This window comes from Homo sapiens, chromosome 16 (assembly GCF_000001405.40).
Source record: "Homo sapiens chromosome 16, GRCh38.p14 Primary Assembly".
In the NCBI taxonomy this organism is placed as follows: Eukaryota; Metazoa; Chordata; class Mammalia; order Primates; family Hominidae; genus Homo; species Homo sapiens.
The window spans coordinates 73,160,950-73,183,164 of record NC_000016.10 but is presented as its reverse complement, the minus strand read 5'-3'; the positions used below and the strand labels follow the sequence as shown (position 1 = coordinate 73,183,164).

The 22,215-nt window shown below is 44.5% G+C and overlaps 1 protein-coding gene across 1 annotated transcript in view, besides 3 other annotated features; it reads left to right on the top strand.

Annotated features, from left to right (window-relative positions):
- ZFHX3 (zinc finger homeobox 3) overlaps positions 1–22,215 on the top strand; it is a 1,109,046-nt gene that overhangs the window by 708,766 nt on the left and 378,065 nt on the right. The gene's annotated exons all lie outside the window — the stretch shown is intronic.
- Positions 10,848–11,697: an enhancer, noted in NCBI's record as "NANOG-H3K27ac-H3K4me1 hESC enhancer chr16:73205367-73206216 (GRCh37/hg19 assembly coordinates)". NCBI's record gives its function as "activates a minimal SCP1, AML or CMV promoter by ChIP-STARR-seq in naive H9 embryonic stem cells {active_cell/tissue: H9 hESC(naive)}" and the evidence as "EXISTENCE:reporter gene assay evidence [ECO:0000049][PMID:30033119]".
- Positions 11,768–12,267: an enhancer, noted in NCBI's record as "H3K4me1 hESC enhancer chr16:73204797-73205296 (GRCh37/hg19 assembly coordinates)". NCBI's record gives its function as "activates a minimal SCP1, AML or CMV promoter by ChIP-STARR-seq in primed H9 embryonic stem cells {active_cell/tissue: H9 hESC(primed)}" and the evidence as "EXISTENCE:reporter gene assay evidence [ECO:0000049][PMID:30033119]".
- Positions 12,268–12,769: an enhancer, noted in NCBI's record as "H3K4me1 hESC enhancer chr16:73204295-73204796 (GRCh37/hg19 assembly coordinates)". NCBI's record gives its function as "activates a minimal SCP1, AML or CMV promoter by ChIP-STARR-seq in primed H9 embryonic stem cells {active_cell/tissue: H9 hESC(primed)}" and the evidence as "EXISTENCE:reporter gene assay evidence [ECO:0000049][PMID:30033119]".

Genomic DNA, 22,215 nt, shown 5'->3' with positions numbered 1-22,215 from the left:
GGCACGATCTTGGCTCACTGCAACCTCTGCTTCCTGGGTTCAAGCAATTCTCCTGTCTCAGCCTCCCGAGTAGCTGGGACTACAGGCGCCCACCACCACACCCCGCTAAATTTTGTATTTTTAGTAGAGATGGGGTTTCACCATATTGGTCAGGCTGGTCTTGAACTCCTGACCTGAGGTGATCCACCCACCTCGGCCTTCCAAAGTGCTGGGATTACAGGCGTGAGCCACCACGCCCGGCCCCAAGAGGTAATTTTTCACCCCTCCCCCCTCCCGCCTTTTGCAGTCTCCAGTGTCTGTGATTGTAATCTGTATGTCCATGGGTACCCATTGTTTAGTTCTCACTTAGAAGTGAGAGCATGCAGTATTGGACTTTCTGTTTTTCAGCTATTTCAGTTAGGATAATGGCCTCTAGTTCTATTCATGTTGCTGCAAAAGACATGATTTCATTCTTCTGATGGCTGAATATTATTCCATGGTATATACACACATTTTCTTTATCCAGTTCTTCATTGGATAACACTTAAGTTGATTCCATGTCTTTGCTATTGTGGATAGTGCTGTGATTAATACATGAATGCACATGCCTTTCTGATGTAACGATTTCTTTCCCTTTGGGTAGATACCCAGTAGTGGGATTGCTAGATCGGATGGTAGTTCTATTTTTAGTTATTTGAGATCTCCATACTGTTTTTTTTGTTTTGTTTTGCGACAGAGTCTCTCTCTGCCACCTGGGCTGGAATGCAGTGGCACGATCTTGGCTCACTGCAACCTCTGCCTCCCAGGTTCAAGCGATTCTCATGCCTCAGCCTCCCGAGTAGCTGGGATTACAGGCATGCGCCACCACACTCAGCTAAGTTTTGTATTTTTAGTAGAGATGGGGTTTCACTGTGTCGGCCAGGGTGGTCTCGAACTCCCAACCTCAGGTGATCTGCCCGCCTTGGCCTCCCAAAGTGCTTGGATTACAGGCGTGAGCCACCTCACCCGGCCCTCCCTACTGTTTTAGAGGATGAGCTTCTGAATGCTCTAGTTGGGATTTTCTTCACCTGAACTTCCTCCCAGCTCTGAGGAAAAGGTCAGAAGATTCTGAGCCTTGTCTAGCCTATTCTGTACCCTTGTATCATATGAAACAAGCTGCCCTCCTCTGGAGGAACAATTAGAGAAGAGTGCTCCCACTCAGTAAACAAAACCCGAAGGACTGCTGGCTTGAATAACCAACTTCTCCTCAGTGTGAAGAAAAAGTTACCTGTCCCTCTTGGTGGATGCCACCCTGAGTCAGGGCTTGCATGGCAGATTGGCAGGTAGAACATCAGCTGCTTTCAGCCCACAATTGTGCCTTCAGCTGGTGCCTTTACATAGTTCACAGAACGCCCAACCACACACAGCAGCCCTAACGGGAACTATATCCCCAACAGACTTCTGTTATTTCTTGACATTGCATAGATGATCATCTCCCACCTCCCAATCATTAAAGCTCATTTGTCCCAGAACACGTTTGCTCAGTTCTCTTTAAGTGATGATTGTATATTCACAGTCAAGGGCACAAGAAGAGGGGATAGAACTTGGGTTACAAGGGCAAAATTTAACCCCGAGACTACTCATGAATAATGGAACCAGTGGTGACATTAAACAGCCTTTTGTGAGTTTCCCCCATTCATGAGACATAAACCTATACTGCCCTTTATCAGGATACAGTGGTTTGGGGTGATGGTCCTAATCCCACAGACAGAGCTGGCAAGAAGAAATCCATGGGGCTCTAAAAACTAGCTGCAGCTGGCTGGGCATGGTGGCTCATGCCTGTAATCCCAGTACTTTTGGAGGCTGAGGCAGGCAGATCAGTGGGTCAGGAGATGGAGACCAACATGGAGAAACCTTATCTCTACTAAAAATACAAAAATTAGCTGGGCATGCTGGCGTGTGCCTGTAATCCCAGCTACTCAGGAGGCTGAGGCAGGAGAATCGCTTGAAGCAGGGAGTCGGTGGTTGCAGTGAGCCGAGATTATACCACTGCACTCCAGCCTGGCAACAGAGCAAGACTCCATCTCAAAACAAAACAAAACAAAACAAAACAAAACAAAACAAACAAACAAAAAAACTAGCTGCAGCCTTGCTTCCAAAGCCCTGCCTACACAAATTACTCCAAGACATTCCCAAAAGGTATTTCTCTGACTCAAGGAGAATGCCATTTAAAGAAGCACAATGGGCCAGGCGCGGTGGCTCACGCCTGTAATCCCAGCACTTTGGGCGGCCAAGGCGGGTGGATCATTTGAGGCCATAAGTTTGAGACCAGCCTGACCAAAATGGTGAAACCCTGTCTCAACTAGAAATGCAAAAATTAGCTGGGTGTGGTGGTGCGCACCTGTAATCCCAGCTACTCAGGAGGCTGAGGCACGAGAATCGCTTGAACCCGGGAAGCGGAGGTTGCAGTGAGCTGAGATAGCACCACTGCACTCCAGCCTGGGCTATAGAGTGAGATTCTGTCTCAAAAAAAAAAAACAGCAGCAGAATGACAGTAAGCAAGTGATACACACTGAGGGACTAGGGTGGCAGAGCAGAGATTCATTTCCCCTGGGAACACCAACATGAGCACCCCAGAGAGGGTAAACACAGTGGATTGGCATAGAAAGTTGATTGGCTACACATGCAATTCTTGAACCTCTGATGGGCGTGGCTTCGTGCCCACTCACGTCTCCTATATCCGCCTCCCTTCTGTATTTGTAGCCTCAGCACCTCTGCTGGCAGGTAGAGTATACAGAGCAGCTTTCTGGGTCTTTCTAGTGAGTCTAGACCAAACTTCAGAGTAAAGGCAAAAAAATAATAATAAAATAAAGAGAAGAATGAAATAAGAGGATTCCTTGTGAATGGGTATGAGCCCTGAATCTCTTCCCAACATGCCTTTAAATTTTCCCTACAAATATTTGGATCTGTGTACAGCAAGCCTGCGTTTCGTGGAGCAACTTGCTCTCTCAGTGACCCCTGGGTCCAAGAGTTGGCTGGAAACAGGAACGACTGGCCAAAGCCTGGATGGATTCGGCTGGGCTCAGTCCCTGCAGGCTTTGTTCTTCAATCTGTTTATACAGTTTCCCGTAGGAGTCTGTAATTTTAATCAGTAAATATCTCCCTTGATTTATCACCTTCTATTGACATAGTGGTAATTCAAGCAGTGGAGCTAAAGCTGGGCCTGCTGTGTGTTTTTTCCCCTCATTGTGCCCGAGCTCTGTTTGATTTTTCTCAGTCCTCTTAGGTAATTGGACCGCCTCTGACACTCTCTGTATGACAAGGCTGTGGTCAGGGGTCAGTGGGTCCCCCTTCTGAAGGGCAAAATGCTCTAACCAGTCACGGCGCAACCCCATCTCGAGTTTGCTAAAAGCGGAGCAGACAAACCACAGACTGATAGGGCCCAGTGGATTTCATTTAAAAAGCAGAAATCCAAGATGCGTATAAAGGACCCTGTTATTCATTCCCTCTAGCCCCAGAGACAACTTGGAGACTTAATCTCCTGATTTAGTGTCTCTGAGTTGAGCAGGGAGACCCTCTTTCCCTAACCTTCTAGAGTTGCCAATTTCCACGTGAGCAGTTTGAGCCCTCTACAAAAATGGGGTTGGATAAGGCCTGGTACTTAGTTCTATTATTTTTTTTTATTAATGCACTTATTTATTTGGCACTTGTGCTAGTAAATTTGTAACATTCTTTGGGCACTCAGCATCTTGATTTCAATATAACCTTTGACCAAAACTGTTCATGAGCTCCTTGATGGTCAAAGAAATGAAAACTTGATAGTCATGGAGGGGAGTGGAGTCAAAGCTGTCTTGAAAGGCCCAAGGTTCTGGGCTAAGCTACTTGTGTTACTTGTAGGTGGCCCAGAAATAAAAGGAATGGTTTGATGTCAGAGGACAGGATCTAGATTCCCAAAAGATCTCAATGAAGTAAACAGTTGACTGAAACTTAAAATGGTAAAAATCAATGTATAGTGCTGAACTTTGGTTCCAGAAATCAAATGCCAAGCCACCAAACAAGGGCAATCTGTGTAAACATAAATTTGGTGAGAATATATTAGAAGTCCAGGTATCCACAAGGTCAGTAGATGCTAACTGTATGAGTTACGGCTGCCAAAAACACTAATAAAATCTTTGGTTATGTTGGTGTGAGCATGGTTCCCTCCAACCATTATCTCACTCAATTTGACTTTCATTTACAATTTTCATCATTGTATCCCCTGTAGTGACTAAACAGTGCTTCATATAACAAAAGCTTATTTACGTATCGTTGGGTGGGTAGGTGCATGGATGGATGGATGAATGGATAGATGGGAGGATGGATGGACGGATAATGGGATGGAACTGACTCACTAGTCAACACATATCTAAAATATTATATTGCTTCTGCCATGCTTCTGTGCCTGTAATCCCAGCTATTTGGAAGGTTAAGGTGAGAGGATCGCTTCAGGACAGAAGTTTGAAACCAGCCTGGGCAACATAGTGAGACCTGGTCTCAACAAAAATAAAAATAAAATAAACTATTGTGTTGAATTTTCAATGCCATGTTTAAGGATGAACATGAATAAAGTGGAATTTATCAAGAGAAGAATGCTAGAGAGTGAAGGACTGGGGAATCATGCCATAGACAAATGAGTTGAAGAAATTGGCACATTTAATCCAAAAGAGGAAAATGATGAAGGAGTCTTTGGGGTAGGGGCACTGGGGAGAAGGAAAGAAATGTCATCTATGGTCAGGCGCGGTGGCTCACGCCTGCGATCCCAGCACTTTGGGAGTACGAGGCAGGCGGATCACTTGAGGTCAGAAGTTTGAGACTAGCCTGGTCAACATGGTCAAACCCCATCTCTACTAAAAATTCAAAAAAATAGCTGGGTGTTGTGGCGGGTGCCTGTAATCCTAGCTACTCAGGAGGCTGAGGCAGGAAAATTGTTGGAACTGAGGAGGCAGAGGTTGCAGTGAGCCAGGATCACACCACTGTACTCCGGAGTGAGACCCTGTCTCAAAAAAAAAAGAAAAAGTCATCCACATTTAGAATTTTGAAGGATGGTGTGTGGGAGAGGGATTAAACTAATTTACATTGCTTCAGAGGACAAAGCTAGAAGCACCTGGTGGAAGCTACAGTTAGGTAGATCTCAGCTCAGAGTAAGGAAGCTAGAAGGATTCCCTGATGCCTGCAGAGAGGTAGCCCGCCCCGACTGATGGGTCTTTCTGTTTTTCACGTGAGGCTGACTGTCATAGCAGCCCCTGTTCGCAGCAGCTCTTTCCCTACCGCGCCTCCACAACTAATTGTCAGTGTCCCTTGCTCAATGCTTTATTTAACAGTGCTTTGCATTAAAGTGAGCTCATATGTCTGTCTCCTCCACTAAGCTATAAATTCCTTGAGAACAAGGCCTATCCCTTTCCTACTCTTTATATGTAGTAGAAACACAATCAACATTTACTTTCTTTGTTCAGTTAAATAGGAATTGGCTGCCTCTTCTATTCAAGTCCACTACCCAAAAAATTGTATTTGGTCTAGTCTGAGATCTGTGGAAACACAGAAACTCCTGAATGGTAATATAACCATATTGGCTGTATGCCAGTGTTCTGTGTATTTTGGGAAAGATCACATCTGTGAATCTGTTCTTCCCATCTTTAAAGTAGGGATACCTATGTTCTTGCGGCTCACAATGCTGTGCACATAATGTTTCATACGCTTCCAAAGAAAAGTAATCTCTAAATGTAAGGTGCCATTATGACGATATGTGTCACATTAAAGAAACATTTTCTCCTTCCCCTTTAACATTAGTATTCTCTTTTGTTCCGCAAGTTTTCACTATAAAATTCTAGAAAGTTCATTTCCAAAAACCCCATTTATCTGCTACCCATTCAAACAGCTACAAAGCACTGGAGCCTCTTTTGCATAGAATGGAAGATATTTTTATTTTCCCTCCAACCATTATCTCACTCAATTTGAATTTGACTTGGGTATTTGGTTGGTTGGTTGGTTGGTTGGCTGGTTGGTTGGTTGGTTTTGAGACGGAGTCTTGCTCTGTTGCCCAGGCTGGAGTGCAGATATTAATTTTAGGAATTAATCGTTATTTGGGCTTTTTCTAATAACTCACGTCATTGAGTATTTTGGTCTGAGGGATATACAAATGTCACCTTCAAGTCACATTAATTGGACCAAGTGCCTCCAATGTGCTGATGAAATCAGCTTGCTTCCATGACTTAGTCATGCTGATGCTGCAAATCTAGGTGGGGCCGAAGATGAAATGATGAAGGCACTTTCCTTTATGCTTATTCTGTGGATGAAAAAAATTGCTCTGATGCAAGCCTTGTGCTTGTTCTCATTATTACATCATTGCATTCCCAGCATATTAGATGGCAGGATAGGGCTGGACCAGCACATCAAGAAGAAGACTTTTTTCCACTCTTAGCTCTTGTCTAGCCTACATTTTATCACACTGCCACGTTCCTTCCCAAAGGTGGCAGCATTCTGGAGAATGGTAAAGGGAAATGATTTCCAGAGAAGTAATTAGCAAAGTGCATGGAGGTTTAAGGAAAAAAAAAAAAAAAAGGAGAAGAAGAAGAAGGCTATCAATCAATAAATAATAAAAAATTCAGCCGAGGGCATTTTCCATCTTGGTATTCTTGGCTAAGAGAGCAAGAAAGAGAGATGCATGAGGACAGGTCAAGTTACTCCTCCTTAGCTCATGTTACTCAGCTTCAATATAATACAGTGTACTCACATAAAGGGAGGTGATAAGGAACAAAAATGGGAACTATGCTTTCACCTGCACTTGACTTCCTATCATCACTTGAGACTTTCAGGTAGCACTGTAAGATACCTGATCTTGGATATTTATGGAGTAATTGCATTGACATTGATCTCTTAATGGTAGTTGATGAGTTAATTCATCCCCAAACCCTTCTGACTTGGCAGATGAGGAGTCATTAGTCATTGAACTTATTCTGGGCGTTACATATTCTATTATTTATCATTTACATATAAATGAAAGTGTGAGCCTCCTAGAGTGATGGGACGGTGCTAGATGGTTTAGAGGTTTTTCCATTGCCAAGAGACCAGAGAGTCAATAATGCCAAAGGATGAGAGAATAAGTAAATACAGGATTTGGAGAGGAGAATTGGCATAGCCGACGAGGTGGGTTGGGGATGGCTCTGGTATTAGCAGAAGAAAGGTAAGGAGTTACATTCATTCATTTATGCATTCATTCCACAAATATTCCTTGTGCTGGATAAGATTATTAGACATAGCCCTGCCCCCCAAGTAAAAAATCATTTGTCATCCCAAGTTGGAAAAAGTGCTTTGAAGGAAACAGACAGGGTGTTGTAGGAGAAAATAATGGGAATGGGGGTTCAAGCGTTGGGAATGTATTTGAATAGACTGGTTAGAGAAGATCTCTAAAGAGTTAACATGTAAACTTGAACCCAAAGGATAAAAAAGAGCCAGCCATATAAAGGGGAAATGATAAGTGACAGAGGCTTTTGTGAGGTCTTGAAGCGGGAAAAGTCCTTGGCAAATTCAAAGAAGTAAACTGTTAATGGCACTTCCCTTTATCGAGCACCTATCATGGCCAGACCCTGGTCTAGATGTTTTGTGTGTGTTAATGCACTTACTCCTCCCAGCCCTCTGAGCAGGCGTTGTTACATCCTCACTCTACTGGTGATGAAAATGAGGCTAGTGTGGCTGGAACATAAAAGGTGAAGGGGAGATGGCTCAAGACCAAGTTGGAGAAGCAGGCAGGGGCCACCAGTGGTTTTTTTGTTTGTTTGTTTGTTTGTTTTGGAGACATAGTCTCTCTCTGTTGCCTAGGCTAGAGTGCAGTGGTGCAATCTCAGCTCACTGCAGCCTCCACCTCCTGGGTTCAAGTGATTCTCCTGCCTCAGCATCTCAAGTAGCTGGGATTACAGGCATGAGCCACTATGCCCAGCTAATTTTTTTAGTTTTAGTAGAGACAGGGTTTCACCATGTTGGCCAGGCTGGTCTCGAACTCCTGACCTCAAGTAATCCGCCCGCCTCAGCCTTCCAAAGTGCTGGAATTAGAGGTGTAAGCCACCACACCAGGCCAAGTGGGGTTTTCAGCAGGGAAATGGGCTTAATCTGATTTGGGTATTTGGTTGGTTGGTTGGTTGGTTTTGAGAGGGGGTCTTGCTCTGTCACCCAGGCTGGAGTGCAGTGGCGCTATCTCGGTTCACTGCAGCCTCCACCTCCCAGGTTCAAGCGTTTCTCCTGCCTCCCGAGTAGCTGGGATTGCAAGCATGTGCCGCCATGCCTGGCTAATTTTTTTTTTTTTTTTTTTTTGTATTTTTAGTAGAGACGGGGTTTTGCCATGTTGCCCAGGCTGGTCTTGAACTCCTGACCTCAAGTGATCCACCCACCTCGGCCTCCCAGAATGCTAGGATTATAGGCATAAGCCACTGTGCTCGGCCCTGATTTGGGTTTTTAAAGGATCCCTCTGGGTCGCTCATTGATGAGCGGACTGCAATGGGGCAGGAGAAGAGTGTGGGGACCATTTAGAAGGCATTACAGGTTTCCAGCAAGAGGAGATGTGACTGGGCCAGGAGGGTTACAGTGGAGGAGATGACAGGAAATGGTGGGTTGGAGGCAGGTTTTGGCTGTGTGGAGATTTGAGAGGCAGCCCAAGCAGTGAGGATGCAAAAAGAAAACACGTGAACTCAAACCTAATACCAGCCCCCTTCTACCACTAAAGACAGGGAAGAGAGAGAGTCGCGGAATAGATTCCTTGAAATTGGAAGAGTTTCAGGTATCTGACCAGGATCCTGCCTCGCTGTCAATATAAAACTTAAATGCCCGTTGCCTGCATGTTGCGGTTTGGCAGCCCTTATTCCTCCTTTTGTTGTTGTTGTTGTTGTTGTTGTTGTTGTTGTTGTTGTTGTTTTGTGTGAACACACACACCACCCATTCCTGATCCACTGAGGCCTTAGAAGGCATCAGCAAGTGAGGTTTCCTCCTGTGACCAGGAAGGTCTCCATGCAGAGAAGAGAGATCTGCTACCCAGAAACTGAAGTTAAGGAAAAAAAGGTGGCTCGCCTGGGGGAAACACGTCCAGTGAACCTCAAGCCGGTCATTAACTCTGCCCAAAGCCTTGAGGACGCTCACACACTTGGGAATTTTGGGAGCCCGGAAACTAACTGCAAAGTTTATTTTCAGAACAAGGCACAGAGAAGGAAGCAAAAGATAAACAGGGACCGAATGTTTTAATTATTTTACATGGTTCCACCCCAACACCATTCCCTAAATCTTAAAGGAATGAAGGTCCGAAGGGGTTTATGGGAGAGCATTTTATTCCTTCCCCTTTCTGCCATACAGGCTTGCAACTGCCCTGCGCCCCCACTTCTATAGCGTTCCCTTCATGGGAATGGCAGGGTATATCCGTGGCTATCTTGTGACTTTGGCCAAACCTGGGTGTCGGAGCCTGGTGAGTTTCCTGGGCGGTTGTGGTCGTTTCAGAACAGTAGCCACATGGGATGCTCTCCAGGGACCGCCTCTGAGTTGCATGGATACAGTTCTTCATCTGGGTTTTATAGGGAACAGGGGTCCTGACCTTGGAGTGCAAGAGAGCAGAGCATTGTTAGTAAACTGTCCGGGGAAGACTTTAAGAAAAAAGAATGAGGTGGAGGAAAGGGAAACTGGGAAGGGCCAAAGGAATCCAGATCCTTCATCACGTTCAGGCACAAGCAGACTCCCTGGGTGTGGCCTTCGGACTCGCAAAATCGACTCCAGATATCTTGGGGAGAGCGAGAAGAGAGGACAAATATGCCGGGGCGGGAGGGGCGGGGGGAAAATACCTGCTAATGCAATTAACTGCAAGTGGAAACGACAAGCCGTCGCCCACGGAAGATCTCAGAAAACACAGCTCGAAAAAGTACAAAAGTCCTTCAGTGTGAGGTAATGAGGCGCATCTAATTATATTTAAGAAAGAAACAGCAAGAACTGCTTTAAAAGCCTCCCCTCAGTCTTCCCCTCTCAAACCAGTATGGATCCAAAACCCAGAGACATCGTTGCTTCAGAGAAAGTGAGGAATTGAAGAGTGCATCACAGGAAACAAGGTTATTTTCCCAGAACTGAGAAAAACTATCACATAAGCCCTTCCCTGACTGTTCTCTTTTCCCCTCCCAAAAAAAAAAAAAAAAAACAAAAAAAAAAACAAAAAAACAGTCCCATCAGGAAACAGCAGGGGGAGAAAGAAAGAAAGAAAAAAAAAAAAAAAAACCACAGGCAGCCCCACCATGAGAAATCAAGGCAGTCGAAATGACATTTGACACCGCCAGGCCACAGCTGAAGAACAAGGGAAAAGTTTTAGGGCGACTGTCAATGACCCATGGTCCTTCACTCCTAACCTTGCTCCTAGCATATGTTTCTCATTTCCTTGCTTATAGCTGGTCCAAGCTAATGATATGTGTTTTGGCCGGGATCCCGTGCTTGGCATACAGCCGGTCTTGTTCTCATTGTCCGGGCTACTTACAGAAACCTCTTTCTCTGTCTCTTTCTCTCTCTCAAAAAACCGGCTTTAAAGAACAGTAAATATGCAAAACAGCCCCCACGCTCTATAGAGCTACCATCTTGAACACGGCCTACGCCATCCTCACACACCCCATCAATAAAGGCCTGAAGAGACTGCCCACAGGAGAGGGGTAAGTTCAACACAAAAGCAGTGGAAATTCAAACAAATTGGCCCATTAGAGTCTCACACGGCTATAAATACAGCTCGGCTGGGGCTATTTTGAGGGACGGTGGCATGGGAAAGTTCGGCCTGGAATCTTGAGTCTGTCAAAGGAGACGGATCTCTCCCAAGACATGGGAAGAACACGAAGCGCCTGGCGGGCAGGAGGAAGGAGGGCGTCGGAGCTGGTCAGTTTCAGGGCCAGATTACACGTGGATGGCAGAGACAAGGCCGGGCCTCGCCCCTGCACCCCGGGGCTGCCGGACTTGCTGTTGGAGGCTTGGGCTCGGGTGTCACTCAGAGTGTCCATAACCTCTCAAAAGGCCGAACATGCTCTTTTCCTCCTCAGGGATCAATGGACCATTTCACTCTTCCTGAAGGACCCGGCAGGCGGGTGGAGGAGGGGTGGGAAATGGAGTGGCTGGCGAGTCTGGGCAGGACCCGGTCTGCAGTCAGCATCTCTGGCGGACCCAAAAGGGAATTTTTTCCCATTTTTTTATTGATACATAATCATTGTGCATATTGATGGGGTAGGTGTGATATTTTGATATAATGTGTAATGATCAAATTAGGGTATTTAGGGTAGCCATCATCTCAAGCATTTAGTATTTCTTTGTGTTGGGAACAGTTGAGGAGGGCATTTTTGCCCATTCAACCCCAAAGGTTGACACCGGGTACGTGTATGTTACAAAATCAGGGGCACAGTAGCATGGATTTGAGGAAATGGGTCCCATAAACAAGAGTTAGTAAAATATGTAGGCAGAGAATATATATGCAGATGTCGAGAACTGCTTAACATTCCCCCTCAGGGTGTGTCAACAGATGGCAATTAACTGCTAACAGTTAGGAATCAGTAAACACAGAATACACAGACGCTTATGCATCGTGTACCTGCCTGCGCTGCAGGAACACAGATTCCCCTTTGCGGCTGTGAAATTGCAAGGAACGTCTGGGTTCACTCTGCCCGCCCCCCACCCCGCCCCCCCCGCCATTTTCTGTTCAGAAGGCACACCCAGGACAACTGTGGATTTACACATTCACTGTAGACCAAGCACTATCCAAGGCACAAGAGTCACACAGACAGAGCTCCTTCTGCCTGAGGCTTTCAGCCCAGTGGATGCATTTGATCGGTGCCTGACCCTACAGTTTCCTTGAAGATACCTCGGCATTTCCCCGGAACAGCCCAGTTTGTATCTATTATCCCAGAGTAATTATTAATAGCACTTCTTTTCACTCTCAAAAGCGTCCCAGTTTGGATGATAAATTATATGGCTACTCTATCTAGAATCCCTTTTTAAAAAGGGCTTTTTTGGGGGGATGAAATCTAATACACAGAGAAAAAAAGTGCAAAAATACAGCATCCTCTATTTGAGAGGCTCTTTGGAACTTGCTGAAGTCAAGAGAGGGTTCCCAAATGATGGAGAAAATGGCTTTAGCAGATTAAATTTTAATTAGTTCATAACAGGTTCCACCGCATTCTGGACTTGAATCCCTGCCGCACGCTGTCGCCGGTTCTGTAGTCCCAGACATTGTCGGCTCTGGATTTTCCACGGTGCGTCGGAAAACTCAAACTGACTGCCCTCTTCCACAAGCCTGGGGACAGCTGGGGCACATGAGGGCACTTGTCCCCATACAGCCTGGAGGGGAAGAGCCAATTCAGGTTTCCATGACAACACCCTTTCCTGAAAATCTCTGACTGACACTTCCTGGGGAGACAGGAAGTACAGACAGGAAGATCCCGAGGTCATTCTTTTCCTTTGTCCAGCTTTTCCCACCTCCCAGACTCTCTGATGATTTGACCTTTCCTAGCTCAGCATATCTTCTGCCAGCCCCATCAGCAAAGCTGTCCTGGGGGCAAAAAGCAAGCAACTGTTTCTGTCCGCTTCTTCCCAGCTGGCCAGTGAACACCCAAACTATTTCAACAATAACCTGCATCAGAGTAACTAGTGAGGGCTGGGCACGGTGGCTCACTCCTGTAATCCCAGCACTTTGAGAGGCCGAGGCAGGCGGATCACCTGAGGTCAGGAGTTCGAGACCAGCCTAGCCTACATGTTGAAACCCTGTCTCTACCAAAATAAACAAATTAGCTGGGTCTGGTGACATGTGACTGTAGTCCCAGCTACTCAGGAGGCTGAGGCATGAGAATCGTTTGAACCCGGGAGGTGGAGGTTGCAGTGAGCCGAGATCGTGGCACTGCACTCCAACGTGGGTGACAAAGTGGAGCTATGTCTCAAAAAAAAAAAAAAAAAAAAAAAAACTAGTGAAAGGAAGATGCTTCAAAAAGTTACACAGCTGATTCCAAAGTAAATGAACAATTTATGGACTGTCTGCACTTTCGCAGTTAGCATCAGGACATTAATAATCATCCCACAAGTGTTACTGAGTGCCTACCATGTGCCAGGTGCTGTGCTGGAGATTGGGTATTGAGTATTGAACAGAATGGATATGGCCCCTGCCTCCATGGAGCTTACAGTGTCCTAAGGGAGACAGACATTCAATGGATAATCACACAATAAATATGCAACTACCAATTGTAATAAATGCAGCAAAGGAAGAGTACAGAGTAGGAGAGAACCTACAACAGGGGTACCTAATTTACAATTGGGTGGGTCAGAGAAAGCCCCCCTCAAGAAAAAACAGCTTTGATCTAAGACCTGAAGGATTACTAGAGGTAGGCAAAGAATGTCTGTCATCCATTAATATCAAGAATCCATGCGTCTCCACCATACTGGGCATAACCTTGATACTTTACTGAAATATTTCACTTCTATGCCAAAAGAAGATTTCCCTCACTAGTTACTTTTTTTTTTTTTTCCTTTTTTGAGACATCGTCTCACTCTGTCGCCCAGGCTGGAGTGCAGTGGCACAATCTTGGCTCACTGCAACCTCTGCCTCGCTGCAACCTCTGCCTCCCAGGTTCAAGTGATTCTCCTGACTCAGCCTCCTGAGTAGCTGGGATTACAGGCACACGCCACCACACCCAGCTAATTTTTTTGGATTTTAGTAGAGACGGGGTTTCACCATGTTGCCCAGATACTGCCCAGAAGTGAAAGTCATACCGTGAGGTCATACCATGAGATATGACTTTCAGGCCTACATATTTATAACCTGCATTAAAAATAATACAAGAGATTCATAATACCAACATTCTAGATTGTTGGTTAGCTCTGCTTGAAATGTAGGAAAAGTTCAGAGTATGCCCTTAGTCTATTTCAGCAAATCTCTCATATCTGAATCCCCACCACCTAGCATGACTCAAGGCATTGTTACCATGTAATCGTTTTATGTATTAGGCATTCAATATGCATTGAACAAATGAAGGTATCAATGAACAAATAAGTGAACTTTAGTAGGTGTCTTCTATGTACCAGGCATGTGCCAGGTACCCTCACAAATATCCTCCAATTTCAACACCCTAACCTTATTGCACCTTTCTCAAAGATAGGATTCTAATATGCTGAACCAAACAATAGTTCTAAAAATAATTCTGAAATATAAGCTGAATGAAGTTTGGAGTCGCAGATAAGGGAGAAAATGCATTTTCAGAAGCATTTTGAAGTAGCAAGGGAAGATGGCAGTCAGCAAAACTAAAGGGTGCCATGCTCTCAAGGGTCATAGATGTGGACAAGGAGGTGACTTGAAAGGGAGCAGAGGTGTAAAGCGGAGTGGACGGTCGGTATTGCTGAAACCCAGAGGGCAGCTAGCTGGAGATCCTGAGATGGTGCACAGAGTGTTTTGTGGATGGAGATGATACATTTGTATTCTGTTGCCCTTGGAACAAGTGCTGAATACATTCCCAACAGTCTGGGGACAGATTGGGGGAATTGCGGGGAGGGACAATGTGGGTTTGGAGAGAATGGAGAGAAGAGAATTTGGGCTCAGTAGAACATTTAGGTACAGAGAAGCTTCCAAAACAGTAATGCTGGACCAGGTACAGTGGCTCACACCTGCAATCCCAGCACTACGGGAGGCTGGGGTAGGAGACCTGCTTGAGGCCAGGAGTTCAAAACCAGCCTGGGCAAGACAGCAAGTCTGCATTTCTACAACAAAACAAGTTTTAACTTAGCCAGGCACTCCTGTAGTCCTAGCTACTCTGGATGCTGAGGCAGGAGAATCTCTTGAGTCCAGGAGTTCAAGTCTGCAGTGAACTATGATCACACCACTGCACTCCAGCGTGGATGACAGAGTGAGACTTTGTCTCGAAAGAAAGAAAGAAAGAAAGAAAGAAAGAAAGAAAGAAAGAAAGAAAGAAAGAAAGAAAGAAAGAAAACAAAAGAAACTATAGTGTTAAAAGGCTGGCATTTATGGGGCAGGTGATAATAGAGAAGTCTTTTGAAACAAAAGTAATGAAAAGAACTATGAATTCAGAAGTAGCTCTACATCTCACTAGTATAAGAAAGAGCATTAGAAAAGGAAGGAAAATAAGCAGATGATTTTATATTGTAAGAGGTTCTTCTAGAGCTAAAAGGAGCAGGTCTAACTGTGAACAATTTAGACAAAAGAACATTTAAACAGAGGTAGGAATTTATTTCAGCAAAGATGACAGTGGGAAGCATCGAGTCGTTTTAGGGTTGGAAATCTCTACATTTTAAAACCATTCACATTAGACTGGGGATGAATGGGAAACAGAAGTGTCTGAAAAGGTTCAAGCGGGTAGGTGAAAATCCGAAGGCAAAAATTGTTGCCCCTGGTGGGGACCTCTAATATTCAAGAGAATTTTCTGCAGAAAAGGATGTTAGTTTGAAGTTGCTATTCTTCTCTTGAATCTCTGCAGTTCCCTGAGCTGGTGACAAGTTCCATAATTGTTCTAGCTTTATTGTTTTTTTCTCCACAAAGCTATTTGTGAAAGAGCCATAAAATTGTCTTACCCAACGTTCTCAGTTTCAAGAAATATGATACACAGCAGATCGGAAGAAATTATTATTATTTTTTTTCTATTTCACAGCATCTTGGCACAAGTTCAGCACTGAAACAGTTAAAATATCAGCACATTTCACTAGTCTTGGGTTACTCATAAACATTCAGCAAAGCAATTTCACTCAATCGCACATATTAACTGCTTAAGTTCTTCTCTCTGAGGATGTGGACTGTTATTTTATGCCAAAAGTCCTGTAATTAAGTTTGACATAAGCACATGGATTAAACGTGTGGCTGGGAGGGAGGGGGGCTGGTCCAGAATGGAAGTTTCTCCCCTTGCCTTCTTGCCATATGGAAACTGTAACCAAATAATGTGCAAAAAATTTTAAGAGAATTTCCAATCCTATTACTCAGTGTTGTTTATCAGGTAAATCTCAAGGCCAATACAGTTACAAAGCCAGTTTTTCTTTTCCCCAATTTTGCAATAAGTACAAGAACAAAACATTAACCATCCAACAGCTGAGGAACCTCAGATTATCATCTTTGCAGGGCAGAGAACAGAACAGCTATTAGAAACTCTTCCAATGGGCAAGGGACTGTGGCTATAGTTTGGAGCTAATTTATCAAACTGATCTCATTCGGGGAAATCATGAGGAGGATGCTGTGTGTTGTGTTGTGTCGTGTTGTGTTGTCAATGACATTAAGGAATGCAACATTCTGATGCACTTTGTTCAGATGGCACTTTTATCTCATCAAGATTTTCCCTGTCTGGAGGGTCCTCAGGTGACTCTGAAAAGGCTCAAATCACTTAAGCAACGTAATAACAAATTTACTTTCAATTTCTGGCCATATTCATGAAGGTTTCTTGCGGTTTGAGAGAGGAATGCTCTTGTTCCTGCCTTCCTAAAAACAGCTAAAAATAGCTTTTCAAATGTTTGAAGGAGAAAACATCCTCCTTGAGTTTCCCCCAAATCAGAGGGAGCACACAGGAAATTAACCTGACAAGGGTAACCATGCAGCAGACCCCCTCCCTGCCTCTCTCCCAGTGAATGCTGCCCCGTGCTCTTGCCCAATCCGGCCCTTCCTTGCTTCTCTCTTTCCATTGGTTGAGCTGAGTTGACTGCTCTCTTGGTGGCTTCGTCTAGCCATAACTTCCTTAAAGCATCCAGAAATGTTATCCAAATGCCTGCCAGGTTCAAGTTCTTTATACTTGAGCCATCATTCTAAAAAATCTCATTGCAACTGTTCCCAGCTTCCTTCTTGATTTGTCTCTGTTTGTCCAAACCCGACTCGGAATCTCTTCCTTTTAGAGGGCCACAGACCAGGCAGTTCATAACACTGGTGTATGAAGCCCCATAAATCTCCATGTCACACCAATTTCTGGCATGGGTTTCTGACCATTTTCACATATCCATTTGTATTTTATAATAGGTGGCTCAAGCTGAACCCAGCTTTGAGATAAAGCCTTAAAAATCTGCTACACAGGAGTGAATAATTTACTTAGGTCCAATGCGACTCTCTATATTGCCCCTAATTTGGGGAGAATATCTGCCACATCTTTTAAAAGCCCATCCCAAGCCCTCCAGGAGTATTCTTGTTTCTCAGTTTATCCTCCTGGTTTTATAGTTCATATTTCTGCTCATTAAATTACATAAACCTGTTATTAGGCCCACAGTCGTAATGTATTCCAGGCATTCTGAATTGTCCTGTGCTCTTCTATATTATCCCCCAATTTGGTACAAAATATAATTACTACCTTCAACTCTACTATCCATGTCATTGTTGGGAATTGCCTGGTTCACTTACCCAGGGCTTCTTTTTCTTTGATATCCCAGGTAGTTATTTTTATTCCCCAAACTTATTCTTTAGAGGGGCCAGCTCGTAAGAGTAGCCCAAGAGACGTAATGGAACACGTACTCTACCCCACAGCTAGGCTCTTGCTTTGGTGGGGAGGGGTAGGGAGAAAAGACTCCAGCGATTTGCCATTTTCTGAGTCTAGTCCACTGACTTGAAGTTAATGGGATTGACTCAGGCCACGCTGACAAAGGTGGGCTCGGTCCACTTTCTGTGTCTGGTTACATTTTCCATAGACCAAGTTTGCCATTTTATTCTGCCAATATCTGATTCCTCCGCAACAACTCCAGAATGAAGCCACAGCAAAGACACATTGCCACAGGCGGGGCCCAGGCAGAGTGTGGATGGGGTTCCTTGCAGCTGATTGAAGTGGGGCAAAGTGTGGTATGTTAAGAACCCAGAGGCTTGAGCATAATCGTACAAGACCTCCTTGGAGTCCTGTTGAAACATTTTCTGCGCTTGAGCCTCTTCCACCTTTGTCCCCAAATATACTAACTTAGTCCAATTTTTCCTCCCAGCTGCCGGCGTGTTTTGCATCCGGGTTGGGGTAATTCCAGCTTGGACCTTGCATTCCTCCTGCCCTCCCTGTGTTCCCTCTGAGAAATCTGTAAGACTGAGAACCTGGTAGGATTTTTTGAGGTCCATGTTCACAGCTTTCTAAATCTGACCTCGTCATGTCAAAGAGCATGGACGTTTCCTGTGCAGTTTATGCATAGCATCTTTTGGTTCCAAACTTCTTGAGCATGATTCAAAATTATGCATCCCCATGCTTGTCAATGAGTGGCAGTATGGAAGAATGCAGTAAATAAGGATGCAAGTTCTGACCTGGATTCGAATCTTGACTCAGACATTCATTAGCTGTCTAACCTCAAGTGGGTGAACTCCTTGCAACTCATTTGCCTCATCTGTGTAATAGGTACATAATAGTACCTACTTCTTGAAGTCATTGTGAGGATTAAACACATAAAGCATTAATGAGAATGCTTGGTCCATGGCAAAGCCTTCAGGAAGTGTTGGCAATAGCCAAATAGATGGTGTGGGTTCCAAATTGTCTTTTTTTTTTTTTTTTTTCAACAGAGTCTCACTTTGTCACCCAGGCTGGAGTGCAGTGGTGCAATCTCAGGTCACTGCAGCCTCTGCCTCCCCGGTTCAAGCCATTCTCCTGCCTCAGCCTCCTGAGTAGCTGAGATTACAGGCATATGCCACTGCGCCTGGCTAGTTTTTGTACTTTTAGTGGAGACAGGATATCCCCATGTTGGTCAGGCTGGTCTTAAACTCCTGGCCTCAAGTGATCCACCCGCCTTGGCCTCCCAAAGTGCTGGGATTACAAGTGTGAGCCACCATGCCCGGCCCCACATTTCCTAAGGGCATCAGCCACATTGTTTTTGGGAGATGAGCTGGTCCTTGAAAGATCTGAGATGCTCAGGCTTTCAAGAGGATGAGTGACAAGCACATCCATGTCTTTGGGCTTCTCTTTGCTTTGCAGGATTTAAACATAGCCTTATATCCAGACCCACAGTCAACCCATGCATGACTCAGCTTCTCACAGCCTAGCATTATTGAAGGACAGAGAGATTCAGGAAATGGAAAAATTGGTATAAAAATTAATAAAAGGATTTAGTTTCAAATTTCTTATTGTTTCATCTGCTGCACATAGTCACAAATTGCCAAGTTCTCCTGTGGGCTCCCTATAAAAATCAGAACCTTGCGGCAGTTGCAGGATCGGCTCAGCAGCTCTACAAGGCTTTCCACCTACAGCCAGGCTTTTAACCAACCTCTCTGACGGTCATCTGCCAAACTGGGGTAATTTACTACCCTGCCTACCTCACAAGACTATGGCAAGCAAGAAAGAGAGTGAAAGTGTTTGGAAATATAATGTTATTATTAAACATACAGCTTCAGTTAAATAATCTACCTTAAAATTAACAGTAGTATTTTTATTTATTTATTTATGTAAAATATTGATATGGAAAGTTACCAAATACCCTTGGATTATTCCATCTCTCTCATCTCTTTGTCCAAGTTCTACTTTTCTCTAATTCCTCACTTCCTCTAAAAAGCTACCCCCTCACATACACACACAAACATTGCAGGAAACGTGCACTCTTCTGAACTGTTAGTCCACTTACTATTGTCCTTTCACTTGCTTTAGTATTTAATCATCCACTTCCAAGAGTCAGCAGACTTTTTCTATAAAGGTCGAGAGAGCAAATATTTTCGTTTTTGCAGGCCATACTGTCTCTGTTGCAACTACTCTCAACTGTGCTTTTGTAGCACAGAAGCATCATAGAGAATACATCAAAGAATGGACATGGCTGAGTTCCAATAAAACTTTATTTACAAAAACAAGTCACGGGCTGGATTTGGCCTGTGAGCCCCAGCTTGTAGCCCCTAATCTGCAGCCTGGTTTTGTTATTAAGTCCCTTTCCCAGTGCCTTTATATTTTGTCTACCTGATTAGACTGTCAGAACCTTGGAGACAGGACTCATTGTTAGGTCTTTAGAATACCCTATCCCCCAGGTCTCCGAATCCCTGCACCTGGCTCAGTATGTGCTTATTGCATTAAGCTGTCTCATGGGACAATTGTATATTTATTGTGAATAGATGGACTTAGGCAATCAAGCCAGGCAGAGTTAAACTAGAAAAAATACATGTGTTGTCCCGACTGAATGAAAGATGGCCATCTATGTGTCAAAGACATCAGTACAGGAAAAATGCTGCCTACCAATCACTATCAAATCCTGAGGGAAAAGCTACAGAAAACACCTGAAGACCACATGTTCCTGGAATCTGAGCTCCGTGGATGAATCATGCCATATAAGACCAGCAGCATGGGTAGCCTGACTCTTTTCTGAGGACGTAGTTAGAATTCTGAATTCACAGATGACCACCATTCTTTAGAGACAACTCTTTCATCATTATCCTTGAGTTTAGAAGAATTTCCCTTTTGTTTCTCATTTAGATTTACCTGAAAATAAATATTTTTATTTGTGGAAAATTCGACATTCCGGGGTTAAGAGTGGTTAAGCCTGTAATCCCAGCACTTTGGGAGGCCACGGTGGGCAGATTGCTTGAGCCCAGGAGTTCAAGACCAGCCTGGGCAACATGGTGAAACCTCATCTCTACAAAACAATACAAAAATTAGCCGGGTGTGGTGCATTACATTTACTGTGTGCTTTATTTCTATAATTATGACATTGGAATACATAATGAAATAATTCTACAGCTCACCATCACGTAGAATCATTTTATGCATTACATTACATTTATTGTGTGCTTTATTTCTATAATTATTACATTGGAATATATAATGAAATAATTCTACAACTCACCATCATGTAGAATCAGTGGGAGCTCTGAACTTGTTTTCCTGCAGCCAAAGAGTCCCATGTGGGGGTGATGGGAGACAGTGACAGATCATTGGGCATTAGATTCTCATGAAGAGTGTGCAACCTAGATCCCTCGCATGTGCAGTTCACAGTAGGGTTTGTGCTGCTATAACAATCCAATACCACTGCAGTCTGGCAGGAGGCAGAGCTCAGGCGGTAATGAAAGCGATGGGGAACAGCTGTAAATACAGACGAACCTTTGCTCACTGACCTGTTGCTCAACTCCTGCTGTGTGGCTTGGTTCCTAAGAGGCCATGAATTGATACTGGTCTGTGCCCCAGGGGCTGGGGACCCCTGCTCTATAAAGTCATTAAGCTAACCATTCAGCATTCTTTATGCATCACACCAACTGAGATTTGGTCATTCTCCACTTGCCTGTAGCTTGTATCATTATAACAATGGGCTGTTCCCAAGTATAAATCATATTATTATCTCAAATGATACCTTTCAAACCCTGTTTCTTAGAGACACACCCCTCTTCTTCTCAGTTGAAAGTCACAATTCTGAGTTCTAGAAGTTTCAGTAAGTCTAGGATCCCTAGGTTTTGCATAAAGAAGTAAGGGGTCCAACAGGCCACCTATGGATTAAATTTGCCCACTGCAGAAAAGAAGGATTCTCACATTTTTATGAACCTAAAAATGACCTGCACAGCTTGTTTACCGTGCAGATTCCTGGGCCTTCCTAGCAGAAAGGCAAACTCAGTAGGTCTTAGAAGGGGCCGAGAGGTGGTGAGACAGTGTTTAACAAGCACTTCTCATCATGCTAATGCAGGAATACACAAACCACACTTTGAGAAATGCTGCTAGCAAAGGTTGGAAACCAGTGCAGTGCCAAATGTCTACTGAGCACCAACCTTAAACAATGCCCTCTGCTAGGCACTTTGGAGGCACAAAGACATATAATCCCTTCCACAAATAGCACATAATCAAGTCTGAAGACAGTATGATAAATGAGCATGCACGTGGAATGTGATCAATAACCGTTGAGCGACTGAGACTCTAAGGCTGTAAGAATTCAGAAGAGCAAAGCAGCTCCATGATCCGAGGTGGTTGGAGACGACTTTATGAAGGAGAGGGGTCATTCAGGTCTAACTTTAGAAAGTGACTGTGGGCAGGGCGGTGGCTCACACCTGTGATCCTAGAAGTTTGGGAGGCTGAGACAGGATTGCTTGAGCCCAGGAGTTCAAGACCAACCTGGGCAATATAGGGAGACCCCATCTCTACAAAAAAATGTTTAAAAGATTAGCCAGGCATGGTGCCGGGCGCCTGTAGTCCCAGCTACTCGGGAGGCTGAGGCAGGAGAATCGCTTGAGCCTGGGATATGGAGGTTGCAGTGAGCTCAGATGGTACCACTGCACTCCAGCCTGGGTGACAGAGCCAGTACCTCTAAAGGCCTTGTGTCACCTTAGCTATCAACCCATTGGCCAAAGAA